The sequence below is a fragment of the Homo sapiens genome, chromosome 6 (genome assembly GCF_000001405.40).
Source record: "Homo sapiens chromosome 6, GRCh38.p14 Primary Assembly".
Lineage (NCBI taxonomy): Eukaryota > Metazoa > Chordata > Mammalia > Primates > Hominidae > Homo > Homo sapiens.
Genome location: NC_000006.12, coordinates 4,918,694 through 4,939,263, shown reverse-complemented (window position 1 = coordinate 4,939,263; position 20,570 = coordinate 4,918,694). Strand labels below are relative to the sequence as shown.

The following is a 20,570-nucleotide window of genomic DNA, read 5'->3' as shown; positions in this document are numbered from 1 at the left end:
GCTGTGCAAGCTCTAGAAGGGTTTAGGTGCTAGAAAGCCCAGTGCACCAAGGGCAGTGCTCAGCTGGAGCCTAGTAACTATCAAAAGTAGTTCAACTTCAGCCCTCCAGAAATCTGGGATTTTGGAAAAGATCCAACTTACTTTACTGCCATTTTGCCAGTCTACGTTTTCTTTCATTTTTCATCCTCTGTAAGTTAAAAAGGCAAGCACAAAGGGTTTATGGGGGCCACCTGGGGATATGTCATTTTAGGGAGGTGAGTAGAGAAGCATAGCCAACTTTCATGTTGATGACTAGGTTTCATCCATTTTAAATAAAATTCATCTCCGAAAAATCAGACACTTCTAATTATACATGGAGTGATTAGCATGATAAATGAGGGGATATGATTTTAGACGAATTAAGTGGTTTTAGAGAAAGTTTTGCTGATATATGTTATCATATAGCAGAGGAAAATCCAACAACCAAGGAAATAGAAATATCTCAAAGTCATATTGTCACATGAAAAAAGCAAGTTGCAAAGCAACAACAGAACTAAATTGATACTATTTGTGTGTATATATGAAATAAAAATTTGAAAATGCTTAGATCAAGACATCTATTGTACATCATGGTGACCACAGTTAATGTATTTTTATACTTGAAAATTGCTGAGAGTAGATTTTAAGTGTTCTCACCACACACACAAAATAGTAAGTATGTGAGGTAATGCATATGCTAATTAGCTTGATTTAACCATTCCACAATGTATTCGTGTTTCAATACACCATGTTGTACACTATAAGTATATACAATTTTTACTTCTGAGTTTAAAAGTAAGTCTAAAAAATTAAACTGAAAATTATAACAAAATGTTCAGAAAAAGGTTGGGGAAGACACACCAATGAATGTTGGATACCTTGAGGGGAGTGAGGGACAAGGAGGACTTCTGCTTTTTATTTCCTACTATCTGGTTCTCTGTCCAGTTGGAACTTAGGATGAAACTGAACAAGAATGTGCACTACTTGTATTTAAAGAAACAAAAAAAAAAAACAACAAAAAAAACCAAAAAACAAAACTCTCCATGTGGTGTTACGGAGCTATCTCATCATAAAGCCTAGACAATTTACTTCAGAGTCGAGCAAATGGTAACTTACTATTTGGAAGAGATCTTTATCTAGGGGTTGAGGACAGAACATACTCACGGCACAAATAATAGGAACTCTGGCTACCCATGATCATCTACTCTAATCATCAGAACATTCTCCGAACACTTGCAGGGTTTAAACCAACCTTGAAATCAGTTATCTGCCCAAGGCAAGTAGTAATTCATGGCAGGCCCATAGAAAAGATTTTGCCCAAGGCAAGTAGTAATTTATGGCAGGCCCATAGAAGAGACAGATGATTTAATTAATTTTGCTGCTCGTGTCTCTCCATGGGAGAAGATGTGTATCTTATTCTCAAGGCTTGGTCAGGCCCATTCTATCAGGATTGGTTTACCAAAAACAAAACACCCAACCAATGTTTAAAAAACATCATTTTTACATACCTGATAGCTTCTGCCATTTTAGTGCTTTCTCTTTTCCTGTCATCTGTCAGACGTCGTATAAAATAAATAAAGTCAAGTCCACAACAGAAGACGCTGCCAACGGCGCTGAGCAGTACCAGCTTGCTGTCATCGGCAGCGGCCGTGCTCAGAGCACTCTGGACTTCTCTCATTACCTGAAAGTCACCAGAAGTTAAAGTGGCAAAGAATATTTTGGGTTTAAAATCTTAAAGCATTTTTTTTTTTGGAGAGAGTCTCACTCTGTTGCTCAGGTTGGCGTGCAGTGGTTTAATCAAGGCTCACTGTGCTCTCTAACTCCTGGGCTCAAACAATCCTCCCGCCTCCGCCTCCTAAGTAGCTGGGACTACAGGCTTGTGCTATCATGCCTGGCTCATTTTTCAACCTTTTTGTAAGAGATGGAGTTTTGCTATGTTGTCTAGGGTGGTCTTGAACTCCTGGGCTCAAACAATCCTCCCGCCTCAGCCTCCCAAGTAGCTGGGACTATAGGCTTGTGCCATCATGCCTGGCTCATTTTTCAACTTTTTTTGTAGAGATGGAGTTTTGCTATGTTGTCTAGGATGGTCTTGAACTCCTGGGCTCAAGTGATCCTCCTGCCTTGGCCTCCCAAAGTGCTGGGATTACATGCATTAGCCACCGCACCCTGCCTAAAAGCATTTTATTACTGGAGAATCTGCATCTGTGAAAAATGCATCATAGCCTGATACAGTTACTGATATCTACCATGATTTTAATTAATTTGCAAATGTCTCATTTTCTGTAACCAGAGATTGAGATGCTGGGGATGGAGTAAAATATAACTACATAACTCGAGTATAATTAAAAAGACATGGGAATCTACGTTATCTTAGTATTTATACAGCCATTGCGGCTCTTAGATAAGGCAAATTGCGGCTCTTAGATAAGGCAAGTTGCTTATTATATCACTGGGCATTTCTCCAGTTTGGACAGCAGGTGGCACATTCAAACCAGTTGAAAGAAACTCATTCAGTTCTACTGTTTTTTGTTTTGTTTTGTTTTAAAAACTACCCTATTACACTTGGGACAGAAAATAGTTTGGTGCGTAAGTGCGTTAAGTCCAAGCACATTAGCATGGACTGGTAATTTTAGGGCATAAAATCATTTTAAATGATCTCTGTGAAGCATTTAAAAATAATCAATGAAGGGACTCTGCAGTCTAAAAATGTACCAAGGACCAACTTTGAACTGGTTTGTTATGTGACCCCGGGCGAACACACAGACTTTCTGTAGTTAAGTTTTCTTGTCTGGACAAAACTCAACCTAGCTACTCACAAACTACTAGGACTTAAAATTTTGGAAAGATATAGGTTAGGTTCAAATACTCCCGATTCTAGAAACTTCACAAAATTCATGTTCTAACCTTTCCAACAACCAGTTCTGGAAAACTTACTTACTAGGCACTATCAGCAATGAGCATGTGTGGAAATCCCTGTTGCTGTGTGTTCTGCTACAACCGCTGAGGAGTATCTGGGGACTGGAAAGATGATAAATATTCTGAAGGGACTGGGATCCCCGGGGGCACTTAAATTCTGTCTGAACAAAGAACCCTTTAAGGATCTGATGAAAGCTAAAGCAAAGCGCGTGCACACACATTTCCCACGTGCCTTCATGGAGCCCCGTGCCCGCCAGATGAAGAGCTTCCAGGCAGGAGGTGAACCACAGAGGCACAGAGGCCTGGGTGGACCCACACCCGGGAGAATGGGGATGGACACTCAGCACAGGCCAAGCATCCTGAATTCACGGCCATTGGAGGTGGGACATGGAGCAAAGCCCGCAACTTCCCCTCTGCTCCCTCCCTTCTGGTGGGCATCGGGAGATGGCCCAAAAGGAGGTTTAGAAAGAGCACAGGAAGAGCCAGTTCAGCCAGGCAGGCCTGGAAATCAGGCAGGGAGAAGCGCGAAGCCCACGCCAGCCCAAGAGCGCCTCTCACCTCTGGATTTAGTGAGTTATTCTCTGAGGACTTTGTGGATAACAAGATGTGGGTGAAGCCATCCTGCTTCCTGACCACAATATCTCTGTATCTGTAGGCACTTTCTGTTTGCCTCACGCTGAAACGCAATCGCTTGTCAAAAGGCTGGTCTCTTCTGTCGTCAATAAATTTCCTTTTGCTGGCAGTCACTCCTGTAACAGATGTCTGTATGTTGGTTGTCCCATTGGCTGTTAATGCATCCATGAACGGAGATGTACCTGCCGAGAGTTTGAAATCACAGTAGTCTGTGATGTCCCACCACCAGTTCACTCCCAGGTGTCATCTTTGAATTGGATAAAGATGTTCATTACACACTTAGGATTAAACGAATATAAGAATATTAAAACTTAGAACCTTTAGAAAGCCAAAGTCTACTTTTAAAGCCACTTGCTCTCTTTCAAGCTCTGACAAGAAAGTCACTCTTTTGTTTCACCTTGCCTAAAAAATACAGATGGAGAGGTACTTATTGAAAGGAAGCTACATAGTTAGAGATTTTTTTAAAGGACAGAATCAAGACAGAATGGGTCTCATGGAGAGTATCTATTCCAGGTTTGAGAAGCCGAAAGAAAAAAGGAAAATAATCAAGAAAACATCTTATTATTAGAGTCAAGGCCATCTAGTCGAAACTTCTTTTTCCAAATGCAAGATAAACTGGATAGACACGTGGATGCAGCCAGCCTTCTCTGCGGGTCATAGAGCTGTGTGGCAGCCACCACTTCAGACCACCACCCCTGTGGGACACTCAGGAGTTGTTTCTAGCTGCCCTGGGAGGGACTATCAGAAAGTCCATCTACTTGTTCCAGTTCCACTCCTTTTTCAAACAGCCCTGTTAAGCAGCTGAAGATAGCTCTCCTCTCCCCCACCACATAAAGCATCCTGCCAACGTTCCCTCGTATGTCACAGCTCAACAGCAGCAACTGTGTTTTGCCAGGGTCTTGAGATGGGGTCTTGCTATGTTGCTCAGGCTGGTCTCAAACTCCTGGCCTCAAGTGATCCTCCTACCTTGGCCTCTCAAGCAGCTGAGATGTACAGGCATGAACCACTGTGCCTGGTTAAGAATGCAAATAATTATCCTCCTGTCTGTATGAATTGTCCAAATATGATCCAATGTGGTGATGAATGTAGAGTGGATGGGGAAAAAAGGAATGAAATGTAAGAAAACTAGATCAGACTTTACTAGTAGCATTAGCAATGGCAGAAGTTCTCTGAGGGCGGAGCATGAAGAATTATGAATCAGAAATATTTCCTCCAAAGTGAAAGAGAATAAGCCAAAGCCACCAGAAAACTCATGAATGGACATTTCAGAGGAGCCAAATAACCTCCCTGGCAAAACAACCTGACTTTCATTCAACTGGTGGAAATAATATTTTAATTGCTAGAGGTTTTTTTTTAATTATATTTTTGAAAAATTTAAAGAGGTTATAATACATACATATGGTTCAAAAACCTAAGAATATAAAAGATATTAAGGTGAAAGCCCCCCACAGCCTGATCCTGTTTACACAGGATCCCCCTGCCCTCTTAGCCACTTGGGCTGGGTTCTCAGGGGCCCCTCCAGAGTATCTCCATGGATATACAAGAAAACATCAATACAGACTTCTCCACCACCCTGGCTTTTAAAAGCACAGATGGCAGTACACTAGATGTAGTATAAGATGCTGTATCTTATACATTGTTGTCTTGCTTGTACATATATAAGATATACACATTGTTACATCTCATGGTTATTCCTTCCACAATATCTTAGAATGGCTCCTCTATCAGAACATAGCTTCCTGTTCTTTCCTAAGGCTGCGTGGCAGGCGAGGCCCAAGGTAGGGATGCACTGTAATTCATTTTCCAGTTCACACTGCAATACGCACTACTATTCAGTGACTTGTCGATATGACCAACAACACAGTGACACATAATCCTGACCTCTGTCATCCCAGTGCTGTCAAATCTCTACAAGCTTCCAAAGGACTTGTAGCCTGGAGTAGTTCTAACTGGAGACCACTGGGTCGGATGTTACCAGTCAGCAAAGGTGTTGCTGAGTCCTTCTGAGGGACTCAGGAAAGACTTTTTCTTTTAACCTCCATCCTCTACCCTACCAGATCCTTCTCCCATCTTTGTTTAAAAACGTTTGACAATCTCGTCTCCCCTCAGGAACCCTCTCTAATCTGTTCCTCCAGTCTCAGTCCCATCACGGCCTCACCTGCCTGCACTTGCTGTCTTCACCTCTCCCTCTGTCCATCATTCTTCAACCCATTCAACTGGGACCCAGAGTCCACATGGCCAGGAACCTTCTGAGTCTAGAGAAATGGATGCTGGATGACTCTAAACATGTGAGCCTGGGGGAGCGGAAGAGGGGCTTCCACAGGGCAGCCTGGAGTTGCTGAGGGAGGAGGCGAGGGAGAGATGCTTGCTCCTCCAGGGTGAGCATCCAGGTGGAGATGTGCATAGCCCAAAGTGCACATCTAGATCAGGGGAGGGAAGTCAGGGTTGGAGAGAGGTACTTGGGGTTGGTGCCAGAAATGGCTGAACTGACAGTATGAGCTCCCAGGGGAAGACTGAGACAGAGAGTGAGCCTGCTGAAGCCAGCTGGGAAGTGCTGGGGAGGGGCGCAGGCAGAGCCAGGAGGCAGCAGAGAAGCAGGAAGGCAATAATAACTGGTTTCCTCAAAGGAAGGAGAGCAGGCCACAGCAGTGAGGATGTGTCTGCAGGGGCAGGTGTTACAGAGGTGGAGGAGAATGCAGAAGAGGCGACGCAGGGAGAAATGAGAGGCCACTCGTAAGCATGGGCAATGCTTCACTATGGCGTGAAGAGTGGAAGCCAGACCACAGGACACAATGAAAGACAACTAAAAATCGATCAATAAAAACACACGTGGGCACAGCAGTTGTTAAAAGTGCAGGTGAGATGACATTGCCACTTAGGTGACAGCCGACAGCAATGATTTCCCTGCCTAAAAAGAGACCACACCAGAAACAATGCTGTGCAGATGCAGGCAGAGGCTACGTGACACGGTGCTGGCATGTTGGGACAGGAGACAGACGTGGAGACTCTGGGCATTCTAAGAAGGGGGTTCCTTCAGACTACACATGCCAGCAGCTGGTAATGCCAAGTGAGAGCTCCTGGGTCTTTAAGAGTTCCTCAACCTGAGCTGGATTTTTCAATTGCTGCTATATCCAAGCACAAAAAGCAGCATCCTGGCAACACAGGGAAGGCCTGGTGCCATGGCCCAAATGCCTGTGTCTCACCCAAATTCCCGTGGGGAAATCCTCACCCACAAGGTGATGGTCTGAGGAGGTGGGGCCTTTGGGGGGTGATTAGGTCATGGGGGTGGGGCCCTCATGAATGGGATGAGTGCCCTTATAAATGAGGGCCGACACCCCCTGGCTCTTCTGCCCTGTGATGATGCTGCAGAAAGGTGCTATTTGTGAACCAGGAAGTGAGCCCTCAGCAGACCCTGAACCTGCTGGCACCCTGATCTTAGGGTTCTCTCCAGAATTATGAGGATAATTAACACAATAATTCTGTTGTGTATTTACAAGCCACCCAGTTGATGGTATTTTGTTAAGGCAGCCCAAATGGCTAAGAAACCTGCCTCCCACCAGGGCAAAGCTGGCTGGCTTCAGGTCCACTCTCCCCACCTCTGGAATGCTCTTGCTTTCACTGGGTCTTTCCTTTCTCTACGTAAAGGTCACACATTCCTTAAACTCTCCCAGCAGTTTTCCTGGTGGCTTCCTTCCACCGAAGCAACATTTCTAGGCCATGGAGCCCATGCAGCCTTTATACGTGAGTCTCAGAAACAGCTTCAGCATTTTCTTTGAGGCGATAGTCCCTACGAACTATCCGTGGTTCTGCTAATTTAAAAATGGATTCATTTTGGCTCACGCTGACCAAGACTACTGAACTTGGCCTTCAGACTCCTGAGTTAAAACTGTGTTGGCTCCTCGTGCCAGTGAGGTCCCTGCTCATTTCAGACTCTGTGATCTTGTTGGAGCTTCAGCGACCACACCCCACCCCAATGTAATTCCTGGCACTCCCTGTTACTCATCTGAGTAGGGCATGTGACACTGAACTTTGCACTATTTAGGTAGAGAAGTATTCACAGCAGGATCGAGTCTTGGAGTCACAGGCTGCCAGCACTGACTAGGACCCTGATCATCACATATGCCCCCTACTCAAGACAATCATGCCACAGTGTTCTCACATCACCCGGGGTTCTCATGTCACCCAGGGTTGTGCCCATCTCAGGACCTTTGCATGTGTTCTTCCCTCTGCCTAGAACGCCTATGACCTGGAATTCAAATGGCCAGTTTCTTCTGCTCATCTGGACGGCAGCTCAAATTTCAGCATCTCAGACAAGCCTTCTTGGGCCTCCCATCCTAATGCTGGTCCCTGCCATCAGCACTTCATATCACCCTGGTTTATTTCCTTCAAAGCACCCATGAAAGTTATTTCTTTCTCATTGTATTTTTATTTACAGTATCATCGATGTACTCCACCAAGCTGTGTAAGAGCAGGGTCCTCGCCTGTCTTATCCACCCATCCCCAGTGCATACAACACTCAGTACATGTTTACTCAGTAAACTCATGGAAAGGGTCTTCAAGTCTCTTTAGTCCAGATCCCTCAATTTAGAGACAAGTAGCTAAGTGACTGGCCAAGTGTCACACAGCTCATTACCTCAACCCAAGCCAGGGATGGTAAGCTCCACACTTCAGAGCAGAAGTAGCTGCTAATGACTAAACAAATGGTAAACACTGAGATTCAGAAAAAAACCGCCCCCCTCACCCCAAACTGTGGAAATTAGTGCGACTCCCCTGGAACGATGACTCTCATCGTTGACACGGGAGTACAAGTTGCCTCTGTGAACTGAGAGTTCCTTACGGATTTGGATTCAGAGTACCAAGGCTTTCCTAGGATTTATTAACATAACATTCGACTAGGAAAGAAACCTATTTTAGTATCTCTTGCAGTAATTGATTTTCTTTTAATATGTTCAAGAGCAAAAAGGATATCCTCAAATACATATGGCAAATCTGTTAAATATCACTGCTTCAAAAACTGCAAGTCTCTAACAATGACTTGTGACACCCTCTTCCCACCTAAAGAGAACAGCGTCTGTACTTCTTCACCTGCCACTGATAGCTAGGAAACTGAATAAAATAGACATAACAACTGTTTGCAGGCACTGGACCACAGGCTGTGCAGGGCAATGTTCCCAGAGTGAAAGGAGACAAACATGGTGAGCCTAACAGTCCACCCGCCTTTCCACCGAAAGCAGCTGCCACAGTGCAGGTGCAGGGATGGGAAACCCAGACATAGCTGGCAAAAATGCTGTCTTAGAACAGATGACTTGGGGGAGGCCCAGGAGGCTGTAATTTGTGAGACATGATATGGAAAAGGAGGAAGCTACATAGATAAAAAGTTCCAGAGAGCCTAGGGGATCCCTTTGAGTCTTTGCTGAACCAATCTGAGCATGCACAGGGAGAAATTCCACAAGGCTGGGCAGTGAACAACTTTTGAGGAAAGAACAATTACCAGAGACCTATAAACTGAATAATCTCAAGTCTGCCTAGGGCCGGAAGTCCTAATCAGCCAGAGCAGAGATTTCATCAAATACATGAGGCATTCAGTAGAGAGACCCCAGATCAGGCACATATCAGCAGTGGAACTAATCTAGCTCTAGAATAAAGAATACTTAAAATTTCACTAACAAAGCTTCAAAGTAAGCTGTGAAAGGATCAAACTGATATACAACTAACAATTTCCTGCCAGAACAAATCTAACACTTTAAAAAAGCATACAACAAAATCCAGCACCCCAAAATGTAAATCACAATGTTCATCAACCAACCATTACTAGATAAGCAAAAAAGTGGGAAAATAGGACCAGTGACTAAGATAAAATCAGTTAATAAAGACTAAAAATGAGAGATGATGGTATTACGAGAAAAGAACATCTTCAAAACTGTTATAATCTCAATGTGCTCAAGCATTTAAAGAAAAACATGAACATAATGCAGAAATGAAAGACTAGGAATAAAAATTTCATTGAATATGTTGAACCAATTAGATACTAAAAAGATCAGAGAACCTGAAGGCACAGCAATAGACAGGAGAAGAAACAGAAAAAACGATGAACCTGAGTGCCCTGTAGGACAATATTAAGCAGTCTAGCATATGTGTAATTTGAGTCTCAGAGAAGGGGTGTGTATGTATGTGTGTGTGTGTGTGTGTGTGTGTGTGTGTGTAAGTAAAACATTTGCAGAAATAATAGTGGAAAGTTTTCCATATTTGATAAAAACCAGAAGCTGACAGATTCAAGAAGCTTAAAAAATACTAACTATGATAAATACACACAAACCCCAAACTAAGGCCTATTATCATCTGCTGATAACATGAGAACAAAAAGATTACAGATAGAATAACAGATCAACTCAATACTTACATTCAGAAAGTATACAAGACAGAAGAAAATGGAATGGCACCTTTGAAGTGTATGAAGAGAAAAAAAAAAGCCAACCTATATACACAGCACAAATGCAGCATAAATGTCCTTCAAAAACAGAGGAGAAACAAACACATTTCTAGATAAAAGCTGAGAGAGTTTGTACCAGCAGGCCTGCACTGTAAGGAATGTTAAAAAATGTTCTTCAGGCAGAAGGAAAATAATACCAGACAGAAGCCTGAATACATTCAAAGGAATAAAGAGTATCAGACCAGTAAATATATGGGTAAAAATGAACCTGCACCAACTGCATATTAAGTGTAATTAACTAAATGTAGACAGTAGTAACTGCTTGGCCTCATCACTGAAACAATGTCTCCCCTGCTTTCATACCAACTTAACAAAAATGAATAAAAACCGCTTTGTACATACTATACAAATATATTAAAGTATCTTAAAAAAATGGCTATTCTTTGGAAAAATATAAATTCTCGAGACTGATCTTTGATGTAGCAGAAACAGAAAAAAAAGCAAGGAAAGAGAAAAAATAAAATCATTAACAAATTACCTCTTAAAACAGTTTATAGGCTATGCAGGTTAAGGAACAGCTGTGTAGTAACAAATAGCCTCTGACCACAGAGAAAAGAAAGAAAATTCATCCAATCTGTTTTGCAAAGATAACTTAACCCTGACTAGACACAAATGCCACAGAGCAAAACCACGTACCAATTTTACCCATTACTCATGGAAGCACAATCTTACTTTACTAATGGTTGACGGTTTATGTCAAAGGGCATTTTAAGATGTTGTGAGATAGCTTAGTTCAAGGGGAAGAATTGCAAAAACATACTAAACAACAGCATTTCTAGATTCTGGGAACTATTTAGAAAATAAACACACATTAAAAAGAAAACATCCATAATCCTGAACTAAAATTAGGAATAAACAACTTAAAAAAAATGGAATAAACAAACAGAAAACATCAAATTGTACTAAGAAACATAAAAAGACAGCCCCCCTCACACACACACACATACACACACAAAAGGTGTGGTGGGATGCCACCATTCTGGAGAACACCAAGCACTGTAAAGTGATTTCTCTTTCCCAATTTGAATTCTAGTAGACTTCCAATTAAAACCTTGGTGGTGAAGATTTAGCAGGAAGACAAGCTAAAATTTTTTTGAAAAGAATAATGAGTGAAATATGCCTAACTAGTTGTATATTACAAATCTACACGAAAAGCACAGTTCTAGCACAGGGGAAAATGATGAGCTAGAGGAAAATGATGAGCTAGAATCAGTTTAAGAACAGCTTCTATGATGAGGATACATGCATCATGAATCAATAAGCTGGTATAAAACATTCAATAAATAGCAAAAGTCTTGTTTAATAAAAAGCATAATAGAACATGTAAAGTTTCTAGACGGAGAAGAGCTTAAACATAAAAAGGAAAGGAAAAAGCTTAAAAAATTCTAGTACATAAAAATTGAAAATTTCACAGACGAAAAGCTAGTATTATCATTAAAACACTAATAACTGCAAAGCATAAAACAGATGTAAAAACACACACACAATGTTGGGTGTGTTGGCTCACGCCTGGAATCAATCCCACCACTGTAGGAGGCCAAGGCAGGTGGATCACTTCAGGTCAGGAGTTTGAGACTAGCCTGGTCAACATGGTGAAACCCTGTTTCTACTAAAAATGCAAAAATTAGTCGGGTGTGGTGGCGCATGCCTGTAGTCCCAGCTACTCAGGAGGCTGAGGCAGCAGTGAGCTGAGATCACACCACTGCACTCCAGCTTGGGCAACAGAGTGAGACTCCGTCTCAAAAGACACACACACACACACACACACACACACACACGTACAGTAAATTCGAATGATGGAATGAAAACACTAAAACATAAAAAATTGATCTGAGTTAAAAAAAAAAGACGTTCTTTCTACCTTCAGATTAGAAAACTTTAAAATATGGCAATTTAGGGCTAGCGAAGGGCACATATACATAAATCGGTACATTCCTAGAAAGCAATTTTGTAAGATGTGGCAATCAACCCCTGCCCTTATAATTCTACCTTTAGAATTTTACTCCTAAAACAGAAAGTACATGAGGATATGTTTTTACACACAAAAGGTATTCAAACAGCTTTACTTTTAAAATGGAAAAATTGCCAAAAGCCCTAAACTTCATGCCTAGTAGTAAGGAAACAGTGAAATTAATTATGGCACACGTGCACCTGACACGATATTATATAGCTATTATGCTTCTGAAGATTTTTAAAAATACGGGTCAATAAGTGCATCACAGCAGCTGCCATTTGCATCACACCTTACACATGCTGAGCTCCTAAGCATAAAATCGGATTCAAATCCCTGCAGCACACCTGAAAGGTGTGTGGTACCTGCAGATCTGATTCCCACGCTTGTGTCCTTCCACTGCCCATCCCCAAAATCATACATGAAAAAAATAAAAATGAAAGATAACAGAAGGGGTATGTGGACAGACAGATATCAACAATGTTTCCATGTGAGTTTATTAGGAATGTAAATTATAGAAATGTTAATATTGGCTCTTTATTGGTGAGAGAGACATAGAATAATTCTTATCCTCTTGCTATTTTGTGAATTTTTACAATATATTTGACATAATCAAGAAACCACTTGAAACTACACTACAGCATCCAAAATCCAGACAAAAATGTCTGGGATATTATTCTTCACTAGCTAAAGATTAACTGGTATTTCTCCGATTATATTTTAGTTTAGAATTGTCTAATCAAGAGTTAGCAAGTTTTAATGTTTTCAAGGCAGAAGGGTCTCAACTGCAAAAAGAGTTCAAAAACTGTTTTTAACCATCTTGGATATTAATGACCACTGTTGTCTTTGGTCTGAAGTTAAAAAGCAAGGACTATAGCATCTACAGAATTAATAGCTCTCCGTTTATGGAGTTTAATATTTCAAAATATTGTTATTTACATATATTGAACGTAATCCTATTCACCTATACAAAACCTTATAATTTTATTCAGATTACATAATCTGCAAATTTTCTTGAAGAACCATGTTTCATATGAACATGGAAGTAAATGCAGGCTTTAAACATCAATACCTCTTTTCTTCATAATGTGTTAAATAAATCCTTTACAAATAATTGTAAAAGTGTCTTTGCTCTAACTCCTTCACTTCCAGTTCTCTATCCATAGGGGTCTCCGAGTTAAAGGCTAGTCTAATTCTAGTAGACTTCCAATAAAAAACTCGGTGGTTAGGATTTAGCAGGGAGATAGGCTAAGACATTTTTGAAAAGAATAATGAATGAAATCTACCTAACTAGTTGTATGTTATAAATCTACATGAAGCGCATAGTTCTAGTACAGGGGAAAACGATGAGCTAGAATCAGTCTAAGAATAGCTCCTGCCGGGCTATTCTTATTCACAGAGATGTGTGTTCTCACATGCAAACCACAGGCAGGGCACAGTGAACAAAAGCAAGGATATGCGCCCGACCTCCTAGGCTCAGAAGCTGGCTCTGTCCTGGACTCGTCCACTCTCACCTACTCATCCATGCCTACTCTCCCAGCTGGAGGACAGTCTACTCTTCACCCTGTTCCCAGCACTTTAGGAGGCCGAGGTGGGCGGATCACGAGGGCAGGAGATCGAGACCATCCTGGCTGACACGGTGAAACCCCGCCTCTACTAAAAATACAAAAAAATTAGCCGAGTGTGGTGGCGGGTGCCTGTAGTCCCAGCTACTCGGGAGGCTGAGGCAGGAGAATGGCATGAGTGAACCTGGGAGGCGGAGCTTGCAGTGAGCCGAGATCGTGCCACTGCACTCCAGCCTGGGCGACAGAGTGAGATTCTGTCTCAAAAAAAAAAAAAAAAAAAAGAAAAAAGAATAGCTCCTGTAATGAGGACAGACGCATAACAAATCTATACAAGCTGGTATAAACCATTCAATATATAGTTCACTAAATGTGCTCATTCTTAGCCATCTCTAAGAAAGACATTGATATACCATCAGGACTTCAATCATGTTTTGTTGTAAAAACAAGTGACACATTAGGAACGATCTGAGTATACTGCGAATGTCACACATTTATGCACAATTGTCTGGAGAAAGTCAGTGAATGCACAACCGCACCCAGCTGAAACTGGCTAGGCAGGAATACACAAAACACACACAAAACACACTCAAACAGCCACCCACCCACATCAGGTATTACAACTTTCTGCATGGTTTCAGATTGCAGTCCTTCTATTGCTTCGCAGTAGCCACATGCTGCAACCCTTCCAAGGCCCACTTCTACAGGCAAATTTCTGCTGTCCTTTTTCAAGATAATGTATCGTATTTATTGTAGTACTTGCTTTTCTTAACTATTTGACACTTGAAATTGTGCTACTGTTTCTATTAGGTTAATGTGTCCATGACAAAGTCTTTGTGGGCTGTACCTCTAATCTCATTTCCCCCATAAGCCCTGTAGCTTTTATTGCATGATTTTGCAGTGTGGCGATTTTTAGGATCACATATATCACATTATAGCAGAACTCACTGTAAGTTTTCTTTCAACTGCTCAGTATCGAAGTCGTTCATTTTTTGGTTGACTCGAGAAAAAATTTATTCACAGCCATGTTTTAGACCTGGCCCTAAAAATAAAACCATCCAACTTAATGATATGCTTCAAGATGTCATAAAAACCAACCAGCAAGAGCTCAATGGGGAGTGAGGATGGAAATGCTTACTACCAAAGACCACATTCAGAGAATGCTTTAAACTCACTTTAAAAGCAAAAGAAAAACCTGAGAACAGAGGAGGTGTAAAAGGCATTTTAGTCCATGAAACATACAAATAATTCCTGGAAACTGCTAAATAACTTGAGAATGCTAGAAATATAAAGAAGGGCAGGTGAACGGCAAACCACGAAATGAGAACATTAAATACCTGAGACTCCACAGGCTTAGGGAGCATTCTGAAAATCAACAGAGAGAAGAACGTAAGCTAAGGTTCCTGCAATTAAAATGATTCTGTTTCATAGCTAACTTTTCACAGAGAATCAACTCCAAAAAATTAAGTGCCAAAAGCAGTGAGGGGACTTTAAAAAGAAAAATAACTATTTTGAGATAAAAGTACCAATTAATGAGATAATGTACCTTTAAATCAACTCTAGATAATTAATTATATTTTCCTAAGACTAAATAAGACTAGCCTGATTAAACCACAGAATTGTGAACCTAGAGACACACAATAATGTTGTATTAGATGTGGCAAGTGCAATGTGCCACATGACAGCAGGGGTTCTCACCCTGACTCTGCAACGGGATTGCCAGGGGACTTCTAAAAAATGCTCCTTGGAGAAAGGGGAACTCTTTTTTTTTTTTGATTTTTTTTTTTTTTTTTGAGACGGAGTCTCACTCTGTCACCCAGGCTGGAGTGCAGTGGCGCGACCTCGGCTCACTGCAAGCTCCGCCTCCCGGGTTCACGCCATTCTCCTGCTTCAGCCTCCCGAGTAGCTGGGACTACAGGCGCCCGCCACCATGCCTGGCTAATTTTTTTTAAATATTTTTTAGTAGAGACGGGGTTTCACCGGGTTAGAAGAGGAACTCTTTCTTATCCACTGTCAGTAGGAATGTAAATTAGTACAGTCATTATGGAAAAGAGTATGCAGGTTTCTTCAAAAATAAATCTACCATATGATCCGGCAATCACTTGACTAGATATTTATCCAAAGAAAATGAAATCAGCACGTCAAAGAGGCATCTGCACTCCCATGTTTATTGCAGCAGTATTCACAATAGCCAAGATATGAAACCAACCTAAGTGCCCATCAACAAATGAATGGATAAAGAAAATGTTGGTATATACACACAATGGAGTATTATTCAGCCTTAAAAAAAGAGTGAAATCCTGTTATTTGGGTCAACATGGGTGAACCTGGAGGACATCATGCTAAGTGAACGAAGCCAGGCACATTAAGACAAATACTGCATGATCTCACTCACATGTGGAAGCTAAAAAGTTGACCTCACAGGGAGTAAAACAGTGGTTACTAGAGGCTGGGAAGTAGTGGGTGGGGGGAGAAGAGTCAAAGGTCAGTTAACAGATATAAAATTAAAGCTAGACCGGAGGAATAAGTTCTGAGTGTCGTATGGCACTGCAGAGTGACTAAAATTAGCAATAATTTATTGTATATTTTCAAATAGAGCAGATTTTAAATGTTACCAAAATAAAGAAATGATAAATGTCTGAAGTGATGGATTTGGTCATTACATATTGCACATATATATCAAATTATATTGTACATAATAATTGTAATATGTACATAAGTGTTGAGTAAAAATAGTAAAAAATAAAAGGGGGGAAAAAAGCTCCCTGGGCCACACTTGCAGGCACCCGAGGACTCTGGGTGGAGCTCAGGCCCCGTGGTGTGTGATCAGACGCACCCCGAGGCTGGGCACCCGCTGCAGGTCGGTGTGTTTGGTGTCCATTGCTGATGTTGCACATTCGAGGCCCAAAACAGGATATTCAGGGTAACTCAAAGGAAATGGTTCAGATCAGAACACTGAGATTGCAGCAGCAGTAACAATTCCCATAAATCAGAGGAAGGACTGTTCAAGTCCAGGTAATTAACACAGATAAATAACAATGATAAAAGGGGAAGCAGGCGGCTCAGGATCTGGCAACCAGCAGGGAGCTCTGAAGCACGTACTGGTGGGCACCACCTGGATTACGCCGTGCTGCTCGTTAAAGCTGCACCCAAGGAAACACGCTCACCCATTCACAGTGAAATGGTCTCCAATGTAGACACACTTTAACTGCTGGTTCTTGTACTGCTTGTATTTATACTTTTTTAACAATATCATTCAGGAAGATAAAAATGTTCACATATTAATTAATCATCTGTCCTCAGGATTCATTGCCCATGCATTGATAACTCTTTCCAACTTTGTTTTATTCTTCACCAAAAGCAAGAGGGGAAATCCCAGTGAACGATCATACTGGCTTTTCAGAGCAAGGTGGTCACAGGAGGTCAGAGACACAGATACTGAGGCAACGGGTCGGCAACCAGCATCTGTGGACCCATCACTGCTGGCCGGGCAGTACCAGGTGTCTCACCCAACCCCCAAGCCATAATCCCCTGAAGATGAAAACTTCAGGTCCAGGATGCCTAACCACCTCGCCTGCCCAAGGTCACTGAGCAGGTGAGGGGTGCTAAGCTCATACCAAATTCAGGCCCATGAGGCTGCACAAATGCAGCCTCCGTCATACCCAGCTGCCACCACAGAGGCAGGAACGGTACCTACGTGAAAAACGAACTAGCAAAAGAAAAGTGGTGGAAAAATGAGTGGTTACTGACAAGAAACCTCTCCACGGAGGTTAGGAATATTCCCAGGGAATGCTGGTGAAGACTTTATGGAGTTGGGATTCTAACTGACTCTCAAGTGCTTTGCATGCAGTTGGTGCTCAATAAGTATTTTTTGAATGTAATTGGTTAAAAAAAAAAAGTATATGGCATGTCGAGGTACTATGCCATTAGCAAAGAAACGGAGGTGGCCAAATACACTACATACTCAGGGGATGATGAAGGTTTACCATGAAAAGCCAGGATGGAAACAAACAGACTGCAGCCAGCCTTTGAAGGGTTAAATACCAAGTTAAAAAGCATATGACACAAAGGTGGAGGCATTGGAAAGGGCACAAGGAAGTCTACAGCTCACCCACCTACGAGGAATAACAAAAAGCTGAGCCTAGGAAGTGGGGGCTGAGAAAGATCTTCCAGGGCTCAGAAAATGTGTTCCGAGCCAGCTTAAGGAGAAAAAATAAAACATAAAAAGATCAAGAGCTGTTGTAACTCCCCAATATGTCTTCTTGTTTATTAAATGTTAAGGACTTCGAACTAGAGTCCTCTTGTTACTTCTGGCATCAACCTACGGGAAGGGCAAGTGGACTGGTTTTCACAAATGGGGAGAAGGCCGGTGCTGGGCCACCATGTGGTGAGCTTCAGTTACTTGGGCAGAGAGAGAAAACGAGGCTTAGTCACTAGTATTCCATGTCCTGTGGAGGGAAAATGTGGAAAGTGACGCACTAGGCACCTATGTTGGTGCTTCCTGCCCTGTGCTTAAAACACACCCATCTCTGTCCTATTTATCTATCTACCCACCTACCCTGAAGCTGAAACTGACCTTCCCTTCTTGCCATGCCTACAGCTGGATTGAAGACCACCATTTTCCAGAGGAATGGCTCAGGGATGTATCATGCTGATGGAATTACTAAGAAGCCACACATACACACACACACACACACAGATGTATCATGCTGGTGCAGTTACTGAGAAGCCACACATACATACAAACACACACATGCAATTTAAAACTGAACAAATTTGGCTGGGTGCAGTGGCTGACGCCTCTAATCCCAGCACTTTAGGAGGCCGAGATGGGTGGATCACTTGAGGTCAGGAGTCTGAGACCAGTCTGGCCAACATGATGAAATCCCGTCTCTGCTAAAAATGCAAAAATTAGCTGCATGTGGTGGCGCGTGACTGTAATCCCACCTCCAGAGGCGGAGGCAGGAGAATCACTTGAACCTGGGAGGCAGAGGTTGCAGTGAGCCGAGATCACACCAGTACACTCCAGCCTGGGCGACAGAGCGAGACTCCATCTCAATCAATCAATAAAACTGAACGAATTTGATTAATGAGCTCTGCCATTTCACTTTAACCACTCCTGCTTTTATCCCTCCTACTGCTTAAAGCTGCTGGGGCACTGCTGTTCCAGGAACGGCGCCCTCCACTGTTTGCATGACCCGCCGGAGGCTTGGCAGCAGAGTCCCGTCTCACTGGGGACACCTATGGACTTTGTCTTTAAATAATTATAGTCCAGTGGTGCCATAATATATATTGTATATGCATATTTTTCACAAGTCCTACATATTAGCAAATGGAATCTAGAGCATTTTTTATTGTGACACAAGGCACAGAGCATACAATTTACCACTTTTAAGTGTGCAGTTTGATGGCATTAAGCACATTCACGCTATTGTGCAACCATCACCACCATGCATCTCCAGAACTTTTCGTCTCCCCAGACTCCAACTAAATACCAACTTTCCACTCCCACGCCCCAAGCCCTGGTAAAGCACCACTCTCGTTTACTCTAGGTACCTCTTGTAAGTGGAACTGTTTAGTTATTTATCCTTTTTAGATGGCCTTATGTCACCGAGCACCATGTCCGCAAGGTTCATCCATATTGCAGCATGTGTGAGAATCTCCATGCTTTTTAAGGCTGATTCATATTCCATTCTGCGGATAGGCCACATTTTGTCTATTTATTCAGCTGATGATAGACACTTGGGTTGCTTCCACCTTTTAGCTATTGATGATGTTAACATAGGGGTACAAAGATTTCTTCACCACCCGGCTTTCAATTCTTTGGGTATATACCTAGAAATAGAACCGCTGCATCATGTGGTCATTTTAATTTTTTGAAGCTATATTTAATAGTTTCCTAAATTATCTAGAATGTGTTTAATTAGTAATTATAATAAAACTATTGGAAAAGATTAAAATCATGGACTGTGATTACTTCTATTTCCTTGTTAAATGTCTTCACTTTAGTTCTCCTGGGATGGAGAAACAGGGATACAAGGAGGTAAAATCCTTTACATGTTGGAGAGAGGTTAGTAACTCTAACCTGAAAACTCGAAGAATTTTTTTGAATAATGCTCCAAAAGCTGAAACTTTTCACCAATGTAACACTCAACGGAAATGCTCATCGTGGATTTCTGATTTGAGATGCTCAACTGGTAAGTATAATGCAAATATTCCAAAATCTGACAAATGTGAAATCTGAAACACTTCTGGTCCCAAGCATTTCAGACAGGGTTATTTAACCTGTATTATCAATGATAAATTGTGCAAGAATCTCTAGCCAATTTTGAGGCTATCTTAGCTTAGAGACAATACCTTCACAAACTCTTACTTCTTTTTTTTTTTATATCCTGGAACTGCTGTATGCCAGCCAGCCTTGCAGTTTTAATGTATACACACAGGCCACACATGTACCCAGTGTAGGATCCAGGCCTCATCAAGCTTGTGCCTCTGGTTCTGTGCAGGAGCCTCACTCTTAAAGACACTCATTTTGCTGAATGACTGACAGTAGGATAACGAAAAGAACTTGAACTTGTTTTGTTCCGGTCTTCTGGAACAAAACACTCTAATTAGCAATATCACCATAAACTATGCAAAACTATACAGTTAGCGCAGGTTTCAACTAGAGACAGTCAAGTGTCTTTGCCCACGTCTGAAGGTTCTGTAGTATAAAGGCCCATACTTATAGATTACTATGTGTAGAAGAATCCTGTGTCAATTTTAATCTTCATTTTGAGTTGTGCTGAGCTCCTCTGAGAGCATTAATCCTTAAGGGGATTTGGACTCCTAAATCAGAAAAGCAGCAAAGTCTTTAGTAACCCAAAGGAAATCGAAGTGTTCATCCTTACTCAGTTCTTCAAAACATACACAGAGATAAAGCAGTTTCAAAGCGATCCCTACAACCAGCATTTTAGAATCAAAGTTAAAAACACTGAGGAAAGGGAAATCCTTAAAAGTG

The 20,570-nt window shown here is 41.8% G+C and overlaps 1 protein-coding gene across 8 annotated transcripts in view, besides 6 other annotated features; it reads right to left on the bottom strand.

The window, feature by feature from the left end:
- Positions 1-20,570, bottom strand: part of CDYL (chromodomain Y like) — a 249,407-nt gene that overhangs the window by 16,281 nt on the left and 212,556 nt on the right. For 7 of the 8 annotated variants that reach the window (NM_001368125.1, NM_004824.4, NM_001368127.1 and 4 more), the window contains 2 exons: positions 3,493-3,749; positions 1,527-1,699 (listed from right to left, as the gene is read on the bottom strand). In NM_001368125.1, the coding sequence (NP_001355054.1) occupies positions 1,527-1,699; positions 3,493-3,749 (430 nt within the window). The remainder of the gene's footprint in view (positions 1-1,526; positions 1,700-3,492; positions 3,750-20,570) is intronic. The other variant, NM_001368126.1, reaches the window with a different exon arrangement.
- Positions 6,409-7,127: an enhancer, noted in NCBI's record as "H3K27ac hESC enhancer chr6:4932371-4933089 (GRCh37/hg19 assembly coordinates)". NCBI's record gives its function as "activates a minimal SCP1, AML or CMV promoter by ChIP-STARR-seq in naive H9 embryonic stem cells {active_cell/tissue: H9 hESC(naive)}" and the evidence as "EXISTENCE:reporter gene assay evidence [ECO:0000049][PMID:30033119]".
- Positions 13,115-13,883: an enhancer, noted in NCBI's record as "OCT4-NANOG-H3K27ac-H3K4me1 hESC enhancer chr6:4925615-4926383 (GRCh37/hg19 assembly coordinates)". NCBI's record gives its function as "activates a minimal SCP1, AML or CMV promoter by ChIP-STARR-seq in naive and primed H9 embryonic stem cells {active_cell/tissue: H9 hESC(naive and primed)}" and the evidence as "EXISTENCE:reporter gene assay evidence [ECO:0000049][PMID:30033119]".
- Positions 13,884-14,652: an enhancer, noted in NCBI's record as "H3K27ac-H3K4me1 hESC enhancer chr6:4924846-4925614 (GRCh37/hg19 assembly coordinates)". NCBI's record gives its function as "activates a minimal SCP1, AML or CMV promoter by ChIP-STARR-seq in naive H9 embryonic stem cells {active_cell/tissue: H9 hESC(naive)}" and the evidence as "EXISTENCE:reporter gene assay evidence [ECO:0000049][PMID:30033119]".
- Positions 15,952-16,463: an enhancer, noted in NCBI's record as "H3K4me1 hESC enhancer chr6:4923035-4923546 (GRCh37/hg19 assembly coordinates)". NCBI's record gives its function as "activates a minimal SCP1, AML or CMV promoter by ChIP-STARR-seq in naive H9 embryonic stem cells {active_cell/tissue: H9 hESC(naive)}" and the evidence as "EXISTENCE:reporter gene assay evidence [ECO:0000049][PMID:30033119]".
- Positions 16,464-16,975: an enhancer, noted in NCBI's record as "H3K4me1 hESC enhancer chr6:4922523-4923034 (GRCh37/hg19 assembly coordinates)". NCBI's record gives its function as "activates a minimal SCP1, AML or CMV promoter by ChIP-STARR-seq in naive H9 embryonic stem cells {active_cell/tissue: H9 hESC(naive)}" and the evidence as "EXISTENCE:reporter gene assay evidence [ECO:0000049][PMID:30033119]".
- Positions 16,962-17,188: a silencer, noted in NCBI's record as "fragment chr6:4922310-4922536 (GRCh37/hg19 assembly coordinates)". NCBI's record gives its function as "represses an EF-1alpha promoter that drives an FKBP-Casp9 reporter gene in an ReSE screen in phorbol 12-myristate 13-acetate-treated (for megakaryocytic differentiation) K562 erythroleukemia cells {active_cell/tissue: K562(+PMA)}" and the evidence as "EXISTENCE:reporter gene assay evidence [ECO:0000049][PMID:32094911]".